The sequence below is a fragment of the Homo sapiens genome, chromosome 18 (genome assembly GCF_000001405.40).
Source record: "Homo sapiens chromosome 18, GRCh38.p14 Primary Assembly".
Classification (NCBI taxonomy): domain Eukaryota; kingdom Metazoa; phylum Chordata; class Mammalia; order Primates; family Hominidae; genus Homo; species Homo sapiens.
Genome location: NC_000018.10, coordinates 34164648 through 34184665, shown reverse-complemented (window position 1 = coordinate 34184665; position 20018 = coordinate 34164648). Strand labels below are relative to the sequence as shown.

The window sequence follows — 20018 nt, the reverse complement described above, 5'->3', positions numbered from 1 at the left end:
CATATCACCTTTGGAACTGAACCCCCACCTTCTCAGAATTCTTGCTGTTCACTCTGTCGCTTGTGGATCTTCCTTTGCCATCAAACTAGTATCAACACAGAACTCAGTCCCTTCCTTGACTCCTTTTCCATCATAACCACTCCCACTTTCCAACTCTATGTTCTTTTTCTTTGTTTTGGGTCTTCCTAATGTTGTGGAAGAATGTCAAAGTAGTGGCAACAACTTATTAGTTATCCCTTCTAAATGCTCTTTGACTCTTTTTCATGCTGCTTTTCCATATTCCATTATATTACTAAATTTGAAATTGATTCATGCTTCTTAGAAACATAATTGTATCATGTTATTATATATAAAATATTATATTACATGACATAATATGCAGTTATTATGGTAGTAATAACAATGATATAAATAATTATCTTATTTAGGTAAATCCAGTACATACTCAGAATTAGCACTGAGCCTGTTTGCAGTTTCAATTCGGCTGAAGCTTTGAAATTACTTTGCAGGGCCATTTTGTTCAATGTTTAGATAAAAATACATTTTAAGCTCTGAGTGTGTGTGTGTAAGTGTATGTGTCATTATATGCTTTGGGATGGGGTTCATTTGCATAGTTAACTTTATTTCATTCTTTTCATATCCTATCAGTTGCATTTTTTTATCTTGAATACATTTTATATTCATTTTTATTTATATTTTTATTTACATATTTATTTACATACAGTAAAATTCTCTTTGTTATATACAGTTCTATGGGTTTTGACAAATGCTTAGAGCTATACATCTACCACCACAACCATAACATTGAACAGTTCCATTGTCTCTGAAATTCTCTCATTCTTCCTTTTTGTAGACAGCTCCTCTAACCACTGGTGGGTTCTCTTGTCTCTATTTTGCCTTTTCCAGAAAGTTATATGAGTGGAACTGTGGAACATATAGACTTTTGAGTCTGGCTTCTTTCATTTAGCCAAAGGCAGTGGAGGTGGTATGTGAATCAATAGTTTGTTCATTTTAATTGCTAAATACTATTTCTTTGTAGGGATATACCACAATTTACCCATTTACTTGTTGAAGGACATCTGAATGATTTCCATTTTTGGCAATTATGAATAGAGCTGCTACAATTGCATACAAGTTTTTATGTGAATGTAAGTTTTCATTTTCTTGTTTAACTTTATAACAAGTTGCCAAACTGTTTTCAAAAGTGACGGTACCCAGTTTACATTCACACTAGCAACGTATAGTGTGTCAGTTGCTCTACTCTTCACTGGCATTTGACATTGTCAGAGTTTTTAATCCTCCATTATAATAGTGTATAGTGATATCTTGAAGTTTTAATTTGCATTTTCTCATGAATAGGGCTATTGAACACCTTTTCCTATGCTTATTTGCATCCACATATTTTATTTGGTGAAGTGTTTGTTCAGATCTTTGCCTACTTATTAAATTGGATTGCTTATTATTGAATTTTGAGAATTATTTTTATGTTCTAAATACAAATCCTTTGTCAGAAATGTGATTTGCAAATATTTCCTCCTACTCTGTAACTTATTTTGACATTTTTAAAATTGTGTGTTTCACAGAGCAGAAGTTTCTTCTTTGTTAATATCCAATTTATCAATTTTTCTTTCACAAATGATATTTTTGTGTCACACTGAAGGATGCTTTGCTTAAACCATGGGTAAACAGATATTATTCTATGTTTAATACTAAAATATTCTGTAGTTTTATGTTTTAAATTTACTCTATAGTTCATTTTGAGTTAACAAAGTGTGAAGAATGGTCAAATTTCATGTACTTTTTGGTAAACGAATGTCTAATAATTTCTATTGGCCATTTTAATTTTATCCATTTTTAATTTATCAACTTAATTCACTTAACTATTTTTGGATTATAAAGTTAATGCAATTATTTTTTAAAAATGAAAGAAGAAGTTTAATTTTTTTAAAAAAAATCCTTATTCTCACTACCCAAAGATATTCACTATAAACATTCTGGAGCATATCTTTTCAGGCTTTATTCCTCCTGCACTCAGTTGATAATAAATTAGTGAAGATATGAAACTATTCACAAATGTATCAGTGTATTGATTTTTATTAATGTAATTTACCTAGCTTAAAATTCACTGTTTTAAAGTGTATATTTTATTGGTTTTAAATATATTCACAAGGCTGTGCAACCATCACCACTATATAGTTGTAGAATATTTTCTTCATTCCAGAAAAAAATCATTCACACCTGCTAGCATTCAGTGCTTATTTTCCTGTCCTTCCAGCCCCTAACAACTATTCAACTTTCTATCTTAATGGGATTTGCTTATTCTAAACATTTTATATAAATGTATTGATACAGTATGGGAACTTCCTATCTGTTTTCTTTCATTTAGCATGTTCTCAAGTTTCAGGCATGTTATAGTGTGCCTCAGCATATCATTCTTTTTATGGATGAATATTCCATTATACCGATATGCCATATTTTGTTAATCCATTTATTAGTTGATAGAAGTTTGAGTTGTTTCCATTTTTCAGCTATTACAAATAATGCTGCTATGAACATTTGTGTATAAGTTTTTGTGCTGATATATATTTTTTTGTTTTCTTGGATATAAACCCAGGAATGGAATTGTTGGGTCATATGGTCAGTTTGTGCTTAACTTTTTGGAGAACTGCCAGACTCTTTTCAAGGTAGTTGTACCATTTAGATCCCCAGAGCAACGTTATGAGGTTCCCATTTCTCCACATCCTAACATGCTAACATTTGTTATTTTCTTTTTGTCTTTTCATCACAGCCATCCTAATGGATGTGAAGTAGCATCTCATTGTGGTTTTGATTTGCATTTCCCTAATGACTAATGATGTTATGCATAATTTAATGTGTTTATTGGATGTTTGTATGTCTTTGGAGAAATGTTTATTCAAACACTTAGCCCACTTCAATTTTTTTTTCAGTGTTAAGCTGCAAGAGTTCTTTATGTAATCTAGAATTAGACCCTTCTCAAATATATAATGAGCAAATATTTTCCACTCTTTGGGTTGGCTTGTGACTTCTTTGATAGTGTTATTTATATGCAAAAGTTTTTAATTTTGATGAAGTCTAACTTCTCTATTTTTTCTTTGGCTGCTTATACTGTATATGTCATATTTTAAAAACTGTTACTTAAAGCAAGGTCATAATGATGTGTACTTCTGTTTTCTTCTAAGATTGTTATAGCTTTAGCACTTGCATTTAGGTGGTTGATCCATGTTGAGTTGATTTTTGGATATGATATGACATAGGTATTCAAATTCATTTTTAACGTGTGCATATCTAGTAGTCACAGCACCATTTGTGGAAAAGATTATTATTTACCAGAGTGAATTGTCTTGGCACCCTTGTCAAAAATTATTTTACATAACTATATGTGTTTACTTTTGGATGCTCAATTACATTCCATTGATCTACATGTCTATCTTCGTTCTAATACCATGCTGCTTTGATTATTGTATCTTTGCAATAAATTTTGAAATTTGGTAGCATGAGTTCTCCAACTTTATTCTTTTTCAGATTGAGCTTTTCTGGATTCATTGCATTTCCATATGAAATTTAGAATTAGCCTGCCAATTTTTGGCCTCCTTCCAAAAAAAGACATTTGGAATTTTGATAGGGATTTTGTTGAATCTGTAGATAATTTATAGAGTATTGCCATCATAAAAATATTGTCTTACAACCTATAATCTTGGAGTATATTTTCATTATTTTAATCTTAATTTATTTCAATAATGTTTTGAAAGTTTACAGTGTACAAGTCATTTATTTTGTTAAATTTATTTTTGCCTATTTTATTCTTTTTAATGGTATAAAATAGATTGCTTTCTTAGTCTCAGTTTAGATTTTTCATTGCTAGTATATAAAATGAAACATTTTAAAAATATTGACATCATTTATTAATTCTATCAGTGTTTCAGGGGATTCCTTAGGATTTTCTCTATACAAGATCATGTCATCTGCAAATATAGTTATATACTTCCTCTTTTTTCATCATGGATGCTTTTATTTTTCTTGCCTAATTGTCTTAGCTAGAATCTCCACTATAGTGTTGAATAGAAGTGACAGAAGCATACACTCTTGTCTCCTTCCTGATCTTGGGGGGATATTATGCTTAATGTTACTTGTTGGTTTTTTGTAGATCCCCTTAATCAGGTGGAGGATGTTTCTTTAAGTCCCCAGTTTGTTGAGCTTTTTTGTCATGGAAGCATGTTGGATTTTTCTCAAATACTTTTCCTGCATCTCTTTAGATAATCATGTGTTTTTACTTTATTTTATGAGATATTACATTGCTAATTTTTATCTATTCCATCAGCTTTGCATTTATCCATATGAGATAAATTCCATATGGTGATAGCATATGCTTTTGTATATGTTGCCGAATTTGGTATGCTAATATTTTTTGAAGATGTTTGTGTCTATATTAATAAAGGATATTGTTCTGTAATTTTGTTTTCCTGTGAAATCATTGCATGATTTTGGGATAAGGCTAATACTTGCCTTATAGAATGCATTGGTAAGTGTTTCCTCTCCCTCTTCTAATTTTTGGAAGACTATGTAAAGAGAAGATGTTAATTCTTTTTAAAATATTTGATAAAATCACCAGTGAAGCCATGTGGTCTTTGGCTTTCTTTGTAGAAAGTATTTTTTTTTTCAATCTGTTTAATCATCACAGGTTTATCCTTTTTTCTACTTTTTCTAGACTGATTGTCTTACTCCATTTGGGGTGCTAAAACAAAATACCATAAACTGAGTAGTTTATAAACAAAAGAAATTTATATCTTACAGTTCTGAAGTCTGGGAAATCCTAGATCAAATCACTGGAAGATTTAATTTCTGATAGGGGCCTGCTTTCTGGTGCACAGAGAGTATCTTCTTGCTGTGTGCTCACATGGCAAAAGATATCCCCCATCCTAATACCTTCACAATGGTGATTCGGTTTCAATATATGAATTTTGGGGAACACAAGTATTTAGGCCATAGCAATTAGTTTTGTTAGTTGGGGTCTTTCTATGAATTTGTTCATTATTAAACATATTAATCTATTTTTTTGGTAAACAGCTGTTTGTAGTATCACCTTATAATCTTTTTTAAAAATGTAAGTTGGTAGTAATATACTTTTTTTTCATTCTTTTAGTAATTTGAGTATTTTCTTTCTTTAAAAATAATTTATTCTAGCTAAAGATGTATCTGTTTTGCTGATCTTTACCACAAACCAACCAACTTACGGTCTTATTGATTATTCTCTGTTTTTTCTAGTATCTATTTCATTTATTTCTACTATAATCACTATTATTTCCTTATTTCTGCTTGTCTTGAGTTTAGTGTGATTTTTCTTTCTAGTTTATTAAGGTGGAAGGCTGTTTTTTGTTTGTTTTGTTATTTTTGTTTGTTTTTGAGATCTTTCTTTTTTAAATGCAGGCATTTACAGTCAGGTTTTGCTCAAAGAAGTTATTTTGCTGCATCCTATAAGTTTTGATACGTTGTGTTTTTATTTTCATTCATCTCAGAGTATTTTCTAATTACCTTTATGACTTCTTCTTTGACTCATTAGTTTTGAGAGCACGTTGTTTAATTTCCACATTAGTGAATTTTCCAAATTGATTTATGTTGTTGATGTCTAATTTCATTATATTGTGGTCATAAAACATACCTTGTATGATTTAAGTCATTTTTATTATTTTGAGACTTGTTCTATAGTCTAAAATATCACTTATCCTAGAGAATGCTACATGTACAATAGAGAAAACTATGTATTTTAGCTATTGTTGGATGAAGTATTCTGTAGCTGTCCAAACAGGTTGGTTTATCACATTGTCAAGTTCTCTATTTCTTTTCTGGTCTTCTGTCTAGTTATTCTATCCATTTTTGAAATTGGGTTAAGTCTCCAACTATTATTTCTGAACTATTTCACCCCTCCATTCTGTCAGTTTTTATTTCTTGTATCTTGTGGCTCTGTTGTTAAGTACACATATTGAAAATTGTCATATATTCTTGATGGCTTGACAACTTTATCATGAAAAACTGTCCTTTTTTCTCTATAGTACAACTTTTGCCTTAAAGTATATTTGATCTGATATTTTTATAACCTCTCCACTTCTCTTTTGGTTTCCCTTTGCAGCGTATGTGTTTTCATCCTTTTACTTTCAACATTTTTGTGTCAGAATATCATATATGTCCATTGTATGCATATTTTTGGATAATTTTTATCCATTAATTTAGTCCATTAAAATTAATATCATTACTGATACAAAATAACCTGCTTCTATTTTGCTATTTGTTTTCTATGTCTGTGTCTGTTTTTCTTCCCCGCAATTCCTTCTTTACTGTCTTCCTTTGTATTGAGTAGTTATTTTTTTGTTTACCATTTTAATACACATCTTGTTTTTTTAACAATATGTTTTTGAGTTATTTTCTTAGTGGTTGTTGTGGGGATTACCATTAATATCTTAATCTATAACAATCTAGTTAACATTTATACCAACATAATATCAATAGTATATAAAACTTGTGCTCCTAAATAGTCTCAACTAGTCCTTATGCTGCCACAGATTATATCTCTATACATTGTTTGTCCATCAACACAAGGTTATAATGATTGAATTATGCAGTTGTCTTTTAAGCTAGGTAGGAAAAAAGAGGTACAAACAAAAAATACATCATTTATATTTAACTCTCCCTTCATATACTTATCTGTGTGGTTACCCATTAGTAGAGGTCTTTATTTCTTCTTGTGGATTCAAATTACTTTCTAGTTTTCTTCATTTCAAGCTGAAAAATTCCTTCATCATTTCTTTTAGTTCAAGTATGCTAGTGACAAATTCTTTGAATTTTTGTTTATCTGGGAACTAATTTATCCTTATTTTTGAAGAATAGATTTTCTGGATATAGAATTCTAGTTGACAGGATTATTTTCTTTAGTGCTTTGACTATGTACATTCTGGCTTCCATGACGTCTGGCCATTGCTTTGGCCTTCCTAATTTCTTATTAGAAATTAACTCTATCTTCTTGAAAACATCCCGCGAAAAACCTAATAGCAGCCTAGCCTGAACACACCTGTGCTAATTAAATGTGTATTTTCTAGTTCTGATATTCAGCAAAAAGGGGACTCACACTCAGCCTGTCTCAGTTTTCATGCTAAACCATATCAGCTAGATTTGTTTAAGTTTATTATTTGAAGTTTTAACAAATTTATTTAGGTATGATTGACGTACAATAAATTGTACATATTTCATATGTACAACTTGATACATTTTGACATATGAATGCACATGTAAAGCAGTCAGGATAATGAACATATCCATTACTCCCCAAAATTTCCTAATGCCTCTTTGTAATCCATTCCTCCTGCCTCTCCATGACCCATCTATCCCTATCTTTAGGCAAGCACTACTCTGCTTTATGTCACTATGCTATATAGTAGTTTGCAATTTCTAGAATTTTATGTAAATGGAATAATCAATGCACTCTTTTTTTGACTTGCTTATTTTCACTCATCCATGTTACATGCATCAATAAGTTATACCTTTTTATTGCCTACTAGTATGCCAGTAGGTTTGACATATCATTCGCCTATTTGTCTGTTGCTGCACATTTGGATTGTTTCCAGTTTGGGGCTATTTTAAATAACTATGACCATTCCTGTATTTAAAAAAAAAGATATCAACTCTATCTTATAAAGGATCCCTTCTATGTGATGAGTTACTTCTCTCTTATTGCTTTCAGTAATTTTTATTTGTCTTTGGCTACTGACAGTTTGTGATGTATATAGGTAGCTTAGCATTTTTGGCTGCCATAACAAAATACCATACACTTGGTGGCTTAACAAACAGAAATTAATTTTCTCATAGTTCTGGAAACGCAAGTCTAAGATCAAGGTGACGGTATTGTCAGCTCCTAGAGAGAGCTCTCTTCCTGGCTTGTAGATGAACACTTTCTCTCTGCATACTTTCATGGTAGAGAGAGAGAGCGCTCATGCTCTCAATATTTCTACATATAAGGGCACCAGTCCTATTATGAGAGCCCATTCTTATGATCTCATTTAGCCCTAATTGCCTCCCAAAGCCCCATTTCCAAATACCATTATATTTGGTTAGGGCTTCAACATATGAACATTGAGGGGAACACAATTCAGTCCATAGCACTGTGTGTGGACCTCTTTGAGTTTGACCTATGGGGAGTTCAGTGTGTTTTCTGGATGTGTAAATTAATGTTCATCAAATTTGGGAAGTTTTTCTTCTGTTATTATTTCACATATTCTTTCTCCTCATTTCTCTTTTGTTTCCTAGGACTGATTGATGATATCTTGCAGGCCTCTAAGGTTCTGTTCACTTTTCTTTGTTATTCTTGTTTTTGTTCCTCAGATAATAATATCACTTGACTTCATGCTCATTGATACTTCCTTCTTCGTGTTCAAATATGCTACTAAGATACTCTAGTAAATTTTTAATTTCATTGATTCTCCTTTTCAAATCCAGGATTTCCACTTGGTCCTTTATTTTTTTAAATAATTTCCGTGTTCTTATTAATATTCTCCAGCTAGTGTGACAATGTTCTTATACTCTTCTTTAGCTCTTTGAACATATTTAAATTGGCTGATTTAAAGTCTTTGTCCAGTAAATCCAATAAACTAGTTTCCTCCAAGACATTTCCTATTGATTGTTTTTATTCCTGCTTGTGGAACATACTTTCTTGTTCCTTTGTGCCATTCATTTTTTAATGAAAATTGATATTTTAAATAATATTATATGGGATCTCTAGAATGAGATTCTTGTCTCTCCCCAAGATTTGCTGTTGCTGCTTATTGTATTTATAGTTGTTAATTGTTTAGTAAATTTTCTAAATTTAATTTTTAAAGTCTATATTCTTTGTCATGTGTAGCAACTGAAGTCATTTCTCAGCATAGTGATCTAATAATAGAACAGTGATTTCCTTTAATGCTTGGAACCAATAAATTCTCCAGCCTCTGCCAATGGGGTCTGTAGTCTACATTAGCACAAATATTTGACATTCACCTAAAGTTGAGAGCTCTTTCCTAACCTTTACCTCTTGCTTGTACAGTGCCTTAAGTTCAGTCAGAGGTGAAAGCTTAGCCCAGTCTTAGATTTTTTCTGAGCATGCACATATATCTGTACATGTGTGGTCATCTGGATTCCTAGGGAATATGCTGCAGAGTTTCAAGAATCTATGGATTTTTTCATTCGCTAGTTTTTCCTTTAAGCTTTTTGTTTAGTTTACTATTTGATTCAACTGTTATCCACAGCTTTAGGCAGCTGCAAAGATAAAACATTTTCCTGTAATTGTTTTTTACATGGGTGCTGAGGAGAAGGTTTTTCACACTGGGTGAAATCCAAGTCAGGTCGACAAGAGGCAGCCTGTTAAGTGGGGTCTTCCATGGAAGCACTAGACATGTAAAATAATGTGATAATTCTTTAGGATTGAGGCGTTGAAAAAGCCCCAGTTCCATTCTCCTTTCTCTGGTGGCTACCAGGCTGTATAGGAATGTGGGCCATTGTGAATAGTGCCGCAATAAACATATGTAAAAAACATGTAAAGTGCATGTGTTCTTTACAGTAGAATGATTTATAATCCTTTGGGTATATACCCAGTAATGGGATTGCTGGGTCAAATGGTATTTCTAGTTCTAGATCCTTGAGGAGTTGCCACAATGATTCACAATAGCAAAGACTTTGAACCAACCCAAATGTCCATCAGTGATAGACTGGATAAAGAAAATGTGGCACATAGACACCATGGAATACTATGCAGCCATAAAAAAGGATGAATTCATGTCCTTTGCATGGACATGGATGAAGCTGGAAACCATCATTCTCAGCAAACTCACATAAGAACAGAAAATCAAACACCGCATGTTCTCACTCATAAGTGGTAGTTGAACAATGAGAACACATGGACACAGGGAGGGGAACATCACACACCGGGGCCTGTCGGGAGGTGGGGGGCTAGCAGAGGGATAGCATTAGGAGAAGTACCTAATGTAGGTGACGGGCTGATGGGTGCAGCAAACCACCATGGCATCTATCTATCTATGTAATATAAAACTGCATGTTCTGCACATGTACCCTAGAACTTAAAACACAATAAAAAAAGGAAAAAAAATGTGGACCATTATTTTTCAAGGCTACTGAAACATACAGAGCAGAAGATGAATCTAGAGCAAGCTAAAACACCCCAAATTTTTAGGTTTTTTCACCAAGACTTAGCTTTTTTATTTCTTTTTAACAAATACATATTGGATTGTTGTGAAACTTTGATAAATTAAGAGTTTTTGAAAAGTTGATTTTGACAGTGTTTGCCAGTTTTAAAATTTTTTATGAAGAGCAAATTTTCAGAGGTTCTTTCTCTGCCATTTTCACTGATTTTACTTCTGTGCCCTGGATTTAAATAGTACAGATTAAGTTTCCTTCTTTGAACAGTACAATTTTAGCCTGACACTTTAGTTTCGGGTCCCCTAAAGGAGCAAGCAAATTGGTAGGACACTACTCATTGAATGATGTAAGACAGTTTGCCAGTCATTATCCACTTCACTTATTGTTACATGGTATTGTACTGTTCAGCTGCTCTGGCTCTGATTCACTCCATTAGGTCATGTTTCATAAGAGATTTTTAAAGTTCAATTGAAATAATTAATCAGAATCATGAATCGGCATTAATTGGAGGCTCCTAAATGAGAAAGTAGTTAATAATGATTACGTTTGAAGTTAAAATAGATATTATATCATTCACATTAGAAAAGGTGAACATATCACTCATGTTCAGAGGATCCTTTTCCTTAGTAAAAATGCATTCATACAACACATGGCACTGCCAAGATTTAAAATTCATACATCTGTAATATCTGTGAACATGGCAAAGATTTGCCTTTCAATAATTCATATAACACTCTGTCATAGGCTGAGACAGATCAAGATATGTGGAGCCCCACAGCAGGTTGGTAACTTGGCACCACTTAAACAGATACTTTAAAAATATTCTTTCAGCATTTATTTGGTGGATACAGAGGGAAATTGATTTTTTCCTTACTTATTTATTTTCATATCAAATAACTTTAAAACACTATTTTATTATTTTATTTTAATTAATTAACAAATAAACATTTTATATATCCAAGGTATACAACATGACGATCTGATATACACATATACATTGTGTAATGGCACAAGTGTATAGTCAAGTTAACATATCCACCATATTCATAGATAACATTTTTATGTATGTGTGCATATGGTAGGGACATTTAAAACCTGCCCTCTCATCAAATATCAAATAATACAGTATTGTTAACTATAATCACCTTGCTGTACATTAGATCTATAGAACTTCTTTATTTTATTACTGAAAGATTATGTTTTTGACCAAAATCTCTTTATCCCATCCTCCAGCCTCTGGAAATGACTGTTCTACTCTGCTTCTATGAGCTTGATCTTTAAAACATTCCATATATTAGTAAAATCATTCAGTATTTGTCTTTCTGCATCTGGCTTGTTTTGTTTAGCGTAATGTCCTCTAGGCTCATCCATGTTGTTGCAAATGGCAGAATTTCCTTCTTTTTATTGTTGAATAATAAAAACACAGGCAAAAAAAGCAAAAACAAGGCAAGGCAGGCTACATCAAACTGAATAGCTGTTTGCAGAGCAAAGAAAAAAATTCAACAACATTGAAAGACAGCCTATGGAATGAGAGAAAATATTTTCATATCATATACCTTACAAGGGGTTAATATAAAAAATGCAAGATACTCAACAGCAAAAAGTCTAAACAACACAATTTAAAATGTGCAAAAACCAGAACAGATACTTTTCCAAATAAGACGTAAATATGGCCAACAGGTATATGAAAAGTTCATCAGCATCACTAATCATTGGGGAAATGCTGATTAGGACCACAATGAGATATCACCTCATACCTGTTAAGATGGCTATCAAAATGGCAAGAAAAACAAGTGTTGATATGGAGAAAAGGGAACCTTGGTGTACTGTTGGTGAGAAAGTGAATTTGTATAGTCATTATGGAAAACAGTATAGTTTCCTCAAAAAATTAAAAACAGAACTACCATATAGTGCAGCAATTCTACTTCTGGGTATAAATTCAAAAGAATGAAATCAGTATCTTGAAGAGATATCTGCACTCGCATGTTCATTGCAACATTATTGACAATAGCCAAGATATGGAAAACAAACCTAAGTGTCTATTGGCACATGAATGAATAAAGAAAATAGTATATGTATATACACACATGCATATGCACAATGGAATAAAAAATAATACAATTTTAATTTACTTGGAAGTATAAGTTGATTTTTTACTTTAATCAGCATTTAAAGCTGGGTGATTCAGTTATATTAGTCAAAAGATTAATTTCAATAAATACTTTGATGTAGTTATCCAAAAATATTTAGTTCATTTGCTTTAAATAATGCTGCAAGTGATATAGAAAAAATAATTATTAATCTTTTAGTTCCTGATCTTAAAGCTTTTACGTTTATGTTAGAATACCTTATTAAATATCATAAAACCAGGACTTCTGTTCTTCATAGCTTTCTTCTGTTCTGTGCCTCCAGAACTACAAGTTAAGTCAAGTTCTCATTTTGAGGTGTTTGCTTTTGTACAAAAGCTCTCATTCTTTTGTACAGGCAAGGCTTCATTGCTGGGTATTGTATTGGAGTTTTGCACCAAATGGTTCACCAGTTAGTAATGTTTAAGAACTTGATTACCATTTGGGATAGAGAGTATAATTCTGATTAAGGCTAGAATGTAGTTCTAAGAGTCTTAATTTAATGCTGCTTGATAAAAATAGTGACTTAGAATACTACTTGATAAAAGTCATGGTCAGAATATGTGGCTCAGACTCAAAGTTTCTGACTTTCCTGAGTGACTACATTCAAATATCTATCCAATTATCATCTCTTTATTTGTAGAAGAGGAAGAAATGAAGTAAGAGCAAGCATTACTAGAAGAATGTTGACTTTCCCTTCACACTAGGCCCAATTTTCCTCTGCTTTGGTTTTCTCTGTTAACCTAATTGGACTTTTAACAAGTAAGACTATGGTCATTCAGGTATTTGACTATTTCTTCTTGAAGGAGGGTACAAAGTGAATATTCTGGAAACTCTACAATATCTTCGATTGCTACTTTAAATTTTAGGGAGATGAATGACATAGGTGATATGGTGGCTCATAAGAGCAAATTAATTACAAATTTATTCTCTATTCTATGATGAAACTTTTCCTTTTGTATTATTTCTTGAACTAGCCAAGCCTATCAAATGGTTATACAAAGTGTACTACCTTCTTTACTTAATGGTAGCCTTTGATGAAAACAACAAAACAAAAAACAACAACAAAAGGGGGATTGAGATCTTAGAGTGGTAGAAGGCTGAGAAAACCTAAATCTACATCACATTTCATAACATAAACCAAGAAAATGTGTTGTATGATTACCTGAAGAACCAATAAACCTGAATTGAACTAATAACAGTAAATGTAACATCTGGTAAACTACAGTTATAATGCAGTTTTTCTTATGTGGACAAGAAAATGAGAGGCTAACTAACCATTTATTCTATGAATTAAAAGAAAGCCTCAAATATTTATTCCCTCAAAGTCATGTTCTATCTGCTAAAAATGCTGATCAATGTTAGCTTAATTATAGAAAACTGTATTTTATTTATAGCAAACTGGATGTTTACTGGTAGAACTGTGCATAAATATACACTCATTATATATTTAGTGTTCATTTAGGCTGCTCAACATCTTGGTCTATTATAGGGGAAATTGTAATAAGCTTGAAGCATAGTTCTTAGCCATAGTATGTATATTGATATCCTCTTTTTAAAGACCATTTGCAAGATTTGAGGATCATTTTTAGGTATGATTAGAATTTCCTAATGAGAATTTTCAGTCTATTAAAAATGGCTACACCAGCACTATCCAATAGAAATATAATGTAAGCCATAGATGTAATTTTTGAACTTTCTAGTAGTCATTTTAAAGTAAAAACAGATAAAAATAATTTTAACAACATATTTCATTTAACCCAATATATTCAACATTTTACCATTTCAACATGTTATCAGTTCAAAACAATTATGAAGGGAGGTATTTTACTTTTTATGTTTTAGAGAATTATCATCCGGGCGTGGTGGCTCACACCTGCAATCCCAGCACTTTGGGAGGCTGAGGTGGGTGGATCACCTGAGGTCAGGAGTTTGAGACCAGCCTGGCCAACATGGTGAAACCCATCTCTCTACTAAAAAAAATAAAATAAAATACAAAAATTAGCCAGGCAGTGTGGCACGTGCCTGTAATCCCAGCTACTCGGGAGGCTGAGGCAGGAGAATCGCTTCAACCCAGGAGGCAGAGGTTGCCATGAGTTGAGATCATGCCATTGTACTTCAGCCTGGGCAACGAGAATGAGACTTCGTCTCAAAAAAAAAAAAAAAATAGTTCTTAAACAGCCCATCTCAATTCAGACTATTCACATTTCAAGGGCTCAATACCCACATGTTGCTACTGACTACTGGTTGGAAAGTGCAAGTTTCTACCTTTATCCTTGAGATATTTAACTAAAAATATGCTTATGATTGCCAGTAGAGTTTCCAAAAAGGATCTGTAGAATGTCAGAGATGGCAGTTAAATGGAAGAAACAGAACAGCATATACAAAGTCTAAAAAGCAAGAGAGAGAATTGATTAAAAATAGAAAAATAATTGTATATTAGTGCATATTATGTATAAAATATAGTAAAATTTTGTCCTTAATTCTGATAAGGAAGTTCCTTATTCCTACTTTCCTGAGAGTTTTTATTAGAAATGGATGTGGGATTTTGTCAAATGTGTTTTTTTGTGTTATTGAGATGAACATTTTTCTTTTTAGTTTGTTAATACAATGGATGACAATTGATTTTCTAAATGTTAAACCAACCTTGTATTCCATTGATAACCTAGCCCTTGTAGTATTGGCATGGTGCATATTCTTCTATCCCTTTATTGGTTAACTATTTGTGACTTTAAATGTGAAGTACATTTTTTGTAAGTGGCATATATTTGGAGCTTGCCTTTTAATCTGATGTCTGACTTTCAATTGGATGTTCATTAGAACATATACATTTAATGTGGTTAGGTTTCCATCATCATCTTGCTGTTTTTTTTTTTTTTCCTGTTTGCCCAATCTGTTATTTGTTTTTTTCACCTTCTTTTTCCTGCACATTAAAAATTAGTTAAATACCAATGGTTACTTTAGGGTTTACAGTATACTTATTTACCTTATTTAAGTCTACCTTCAAGAATTATTATGCCACTTACATGATGTAAGGAGCTTAGAATACTTCTATTTCCTTCTTGGTTTATGCTATTGTTGTTATATATTTCTCCTATACATATGTGATAAATCCCAATATACACTGTTATTTTGTTCAGATATCAATTATATTTAAAGTGATTTATAGAAAATAACAATAAAAATCATATATTCATGTGGTTACTATTTCTGGTGCTCTTCTTCCCTTTTTATAGATCTGTATTTCCAACTGACATCATTTTATTCTGCTTGAAAGACATTTCTGCCTAAAGGATATTGATATTTATTATAAACAGATCTGGTAGTAGTGAATTATTTTAGCTTTGTATGTCTGAAAATGTGTTTTGGTTTGCATTAATTTTTTATAAGATATTGTAAGTATTTGTATATTTCTATTTTTAATATCGCATTCTTTGTATTCTTGTCATATCTATCTTGTTTATTTTTTAATGTTTCCTTATCCACTACTTTTAACTGTAAAATTATTTTTTATTCACCTTCCCTCTTGATTGGTTTGGAATTTATAAATTAGAATTATCTTAGAAGTTTCCGTTTAAATTTGAAAATGCAAACATATTAAATTCTACATCTTAATATTTCTGCTAATCCTTTGACTCCTACCATATTGTAGTGAATTAAAATCTTTTGTTATCAAGGGTTTAATTTTTTTCTTTTGAACTCCAGAACATGGACAATAGCCTTCTTCTTCTTCTTTTACATTTCTTTTAAAATATATATTATAAATAACATAAATATCAATTATCCTTACTAGATCCACTTGTTTTCAGACTCATCTTCCAATTTACTAGTTTTTTTCGTTTTTCTTCCCCCTACTTTCTTTTCCTATCTGTGGGGCTTTTACTCTGCAGACCTTTTTTCCCCCCTGAAACTATTGCTTTAGAAGTTCCTTTAGTTAAAGTCTGTGAATGGTAAAATTTCTTAATTTTCTGGCTAAAAAAAATTTATTTATATCTCTTATTTTAACTTTTTAAACATTTAAATATTTACACACATAATTTTATTTTCTGTATTCCATTTTACTTCCTATTGAGAAATGTGCAGTTTTATTGTCTTTTTGTAGTAGAGGATCAGTCTCTTGCTTGACAGTCTTAAAATTTTTATCTTTTTTTGGGTATTCTACAGGTTCATTGCAATGTTCTAGGTGTAGATTTTAAAATAATTATCCTACTTGATATATGACATTTTTCCTAAATTTCTGAATTCATGATTTTGTCACTTATAGAAAATTCTTTCATTATCTCCTTGAATCAAGAAAAAAAGATATTAAAGTGACTAGACAGATTTATAAAATAAAACAGAAAAAAATGTAAAATGCAGGAACTCAATTGTTTCAATAGAAGCTTAGATAACATTAAAAAGAGATTTAGTGCACTGAAAAATGGATGTGAAGATATTGTCGAAAATGTAGTCATTTTTATATTATTCCTTTCCCTCCAATTCCTTGCACTTATAAAACAGCTACATTTACCCAAATTTACTAGAATCCAAGACTTCACTGCTTCTCCCTACTCCCTCCAGTCCTCAGATGTTATGGTTCCTGGTATAGGAAATTGCTCTCAGATAGGCCTCTGCTCTAGTTTTCTGTTATAGCTCACTAATCTGGTTTCATTTTAGCATTTATTTAAATTTTAATTTTGGGGTCCTTGAAGATTTCACATACATATGTGTGAGCTTAACAATACATTTAAAATGTGGTTGTTTCTTCTCCCCATACAAACCTCTATCTATCTGTCTGTCTGTCTATCTATCTATCTATCTATCTATCTATCTAATTATTTGAGGAAACAGTCTCAGATTTTTCATTTTAGAAAGATACTTTAGGCACCTAAGAGAAGAATGAAGGGGCCAAAATATGAAACAGGTAGAAGAAGTAGTAAATTGAATAAGTAATCCAAGCCAGAGATACAAGCAAGTATCGACAGATTAGAGAAGTGTTTAACAATTAACACTTAGTAACTGGATATGTAGGAGGTGTAAGAAATCAAAGATGACTTATTTTAAAGGTGAACTGAACGTTATACGGTATTCCCTTGGTATCCATTAGGGATTGGGTCCAGGAACTTCCTGTGATGCTCAATTCCCTGATAGAAAATGGTCTAGTATTTGCATATAACCTATGCACATCCCTTTGTATACTTTAAATCATCCCTAGGTTACTTATAATACCTAATATGATATAAAGACTTTGTAAATAGTTGTTATACTATATATTTTTTTTTACTATTTTTTTTTTTTTTTTTTTTTTTTTTTTTTTTTTTTGAGACGGAGTCTCGCTCTGTCGCCCAGGCCGGACTGCGGACTGCAGTGGCACAATCTCGGCTCACTGCAAGCTCCGCTTCCCGGGTTCACGCCATTCTCCTGCCTCAGCCTCCCCAGTAGCTGGGACTACAGGCGCCTGCCACCGCGCCCGGCTAATTTTTTGTATTTTTTAGTAGAGACGGGGTTTCACCTTGTTAGCCAGGATGGTCTCGATCTCCTGACCTCATGATCCACCCGCCTCGGCCTCCCAAAGTGCTGGGATTACAGGCGTGAGCCACCGCGCCCGGCCTTTTTTTTACTATTATATTTTTATTTTTTCCCAAATATTATTCATCCATGGTTGGTTGAATTGGCAGATGCAGAACTTGCAGACCCAAAAGGTCAACTGTATGTAAATTATTCCATATTTGTTAAAGTTACAGCATGATTGTTATAAATTTATGAGCTTTAGTTAATATTTTTCTATTGTGTTAGTGACATGATTGCATTTATGGACATTTACCATTGGCTCCAGTTCAAATGATAGATCTTTGATAATGGGACTTTGGGAAAATGGAGATAGACAAATTTTCACATTATCTACTTTCTGTAAAAAACAAATACCTTTCAGTTCTCCTTTTCCCTCTTCTAGACAAAGTCTGTTTACTTACTTCAGTTCCAGATACAAGATCCATTGTTTAAAGTGGCATACCTTGTTGAGAGGGAATTACAAGTTGGCTATTTTTATGTTGTTCTTTTATTGTTTTATTAATGCCTTTTCATCAAATACTTTGACTCCAACTTATAAATTCCTTGGTATCCACTGGCTCAGATAAACTATAATGTTATATTCTGAAACATCAGTAGATAAAAACTGTCAGCATTTCATCATGTGCTTTTAAAATTTGAAAAGCTTATACAAATATTAATGAATATTTAAAATATTACAGTTTCTTGTAATATCATATTGTTTATTAACTAAGCTAGAGACTAAAGTTTATCTGGCCCTGTAATTGTTTTTAAGAATCGGTGAAAATTTCCCAACTTTTGGAAAGACATATTTTGTAAATTTTTATTCTATTGGCTTTTTTCTAGTACACAGTTACAGCTTAAACATTCTAAAATATTGAAAGAAAGTGTTGTTAGTAATAATAGATTAAAATAAAGAAATGTATGACATACTTTAAAAAGCCTATTTACCAATTTTAAAAATATAGTATTGTTATTATTCAATTATATCTGCTTATTATATATTTAAAAGTTAAAAAAAGCAGAAGAAAAAAAGAATCACCTCTGGTTTGATTATCTAGAGATGTCTACTATTAATAAAAATTACGTATTTGGGGTATGATATCTGATTCTAGATTCTTTAAGATCACCTCTTAACTTTTTCTAGTCTCCTTAATTCTAGTGTACACTAATGTCAAATAAGATAATTATTCATTGTGAAAGCTTTCATAAGAAGATATTTGTTACTCTCTGTAATTTAATGTCCTACTATATATTGTGCATTGACAGAAATAAAGCAGCACTTCAATATGCAAACATTGAGACCCAGCTGGAAAGCATGCAATACCCACTGAGGCTTCTAATGCTATGTGAAATACACAAAGGGTGGTGTGCTAGGCTAACCTTTTCAAATGGCAGAAGAACCAGTCCAGAAGACTAAAAGCTTTTCTACTTACTTTCCCATTCAATTAAACATCTACACACTGGAACATGGGTGTTCTGATCATTTCCCATCTGCTGTGAGATACTAAGGATGTAAACTGAGGTTTTAAACACTAGTCTATACACAGTCTTTATTTTATTTTATTTTATTATTATTATACTTTAAGTTTTAGGGTACATGTGCACAATGTGCAGGTTAGTTACATATGTATACATGTGCTAGCTGTTGTGCTGCACCCATTAACTCGTCATTTAGCATTAGGTATATCTCCTAATGCTATCCCTCCCCCCTTCCCCCACCCCACAACAGTCCCCAGAGTGTGATGTTCCCCTTCCTGTGTCCATGTGTTCTCATTGTTCAATTCCCACCTATGAGTGAGAATATGCGGTGTTTGGTTTTTTGTCCTTGCGATAGTTTACTGAGAATGATGACTTCCAGTTTCATCCATGTCCCTACAAAGGACATGAGCTCATCATTTTTTATGGCTGCATAGTATTCCATGGTGTATATGTGCCACATTTTCTTAATCCACTCTATCATTGTTGGACATTTGGGTTGGTTCCAAGTCTTTGCTATTGTGAATAGTGCCGCAATAAACATACGTGTGCATGTGTCTTTATAGCAGCATGATTTATAGTCCTTTGGGTATATACCCAGTAATGGGATGGCTGGGTCAAATGGTATTTCTAGTTCAAGATCCCTGAGGAATCGCCACACTGACTTCCACAATGGTTGAACTAGTTTAC

The 20018-nt window shown here is 32.2% G+C and overlaps 1 protein-coding gene and 1 long non-coding RNA gene across 27 annotated transcripts in view; both read left to right on the top strand.

Moving 5' to 3' along the window:
• The window catches only part of NOL4 (nucleolar protein 4), a 373814-nt gene that overhangs the window by 40248 nt on the left and 313548 nt on the right, over window positions 1–20018 (top strand). The gene's annotated exons all lie outside the window — the stretch shown is intronic.
• Window positions 10116–19318, top strand: LOC124904279 (uncharacterized). Of its 2 annotated transcripts, none has more exons than XR_007066330.1 (2): window positions 10116–13082; window positions 19119–19318. It is a non-coding gene; the product is annotated as an uncharacterized LOC124904279 (long non-coding RNA). The 2 variants fall into 2 exon arrangements; XR_007066329.1 differs by lacking the exon at window positions 10116–13082 and adding an exon at window positions 17979–18008.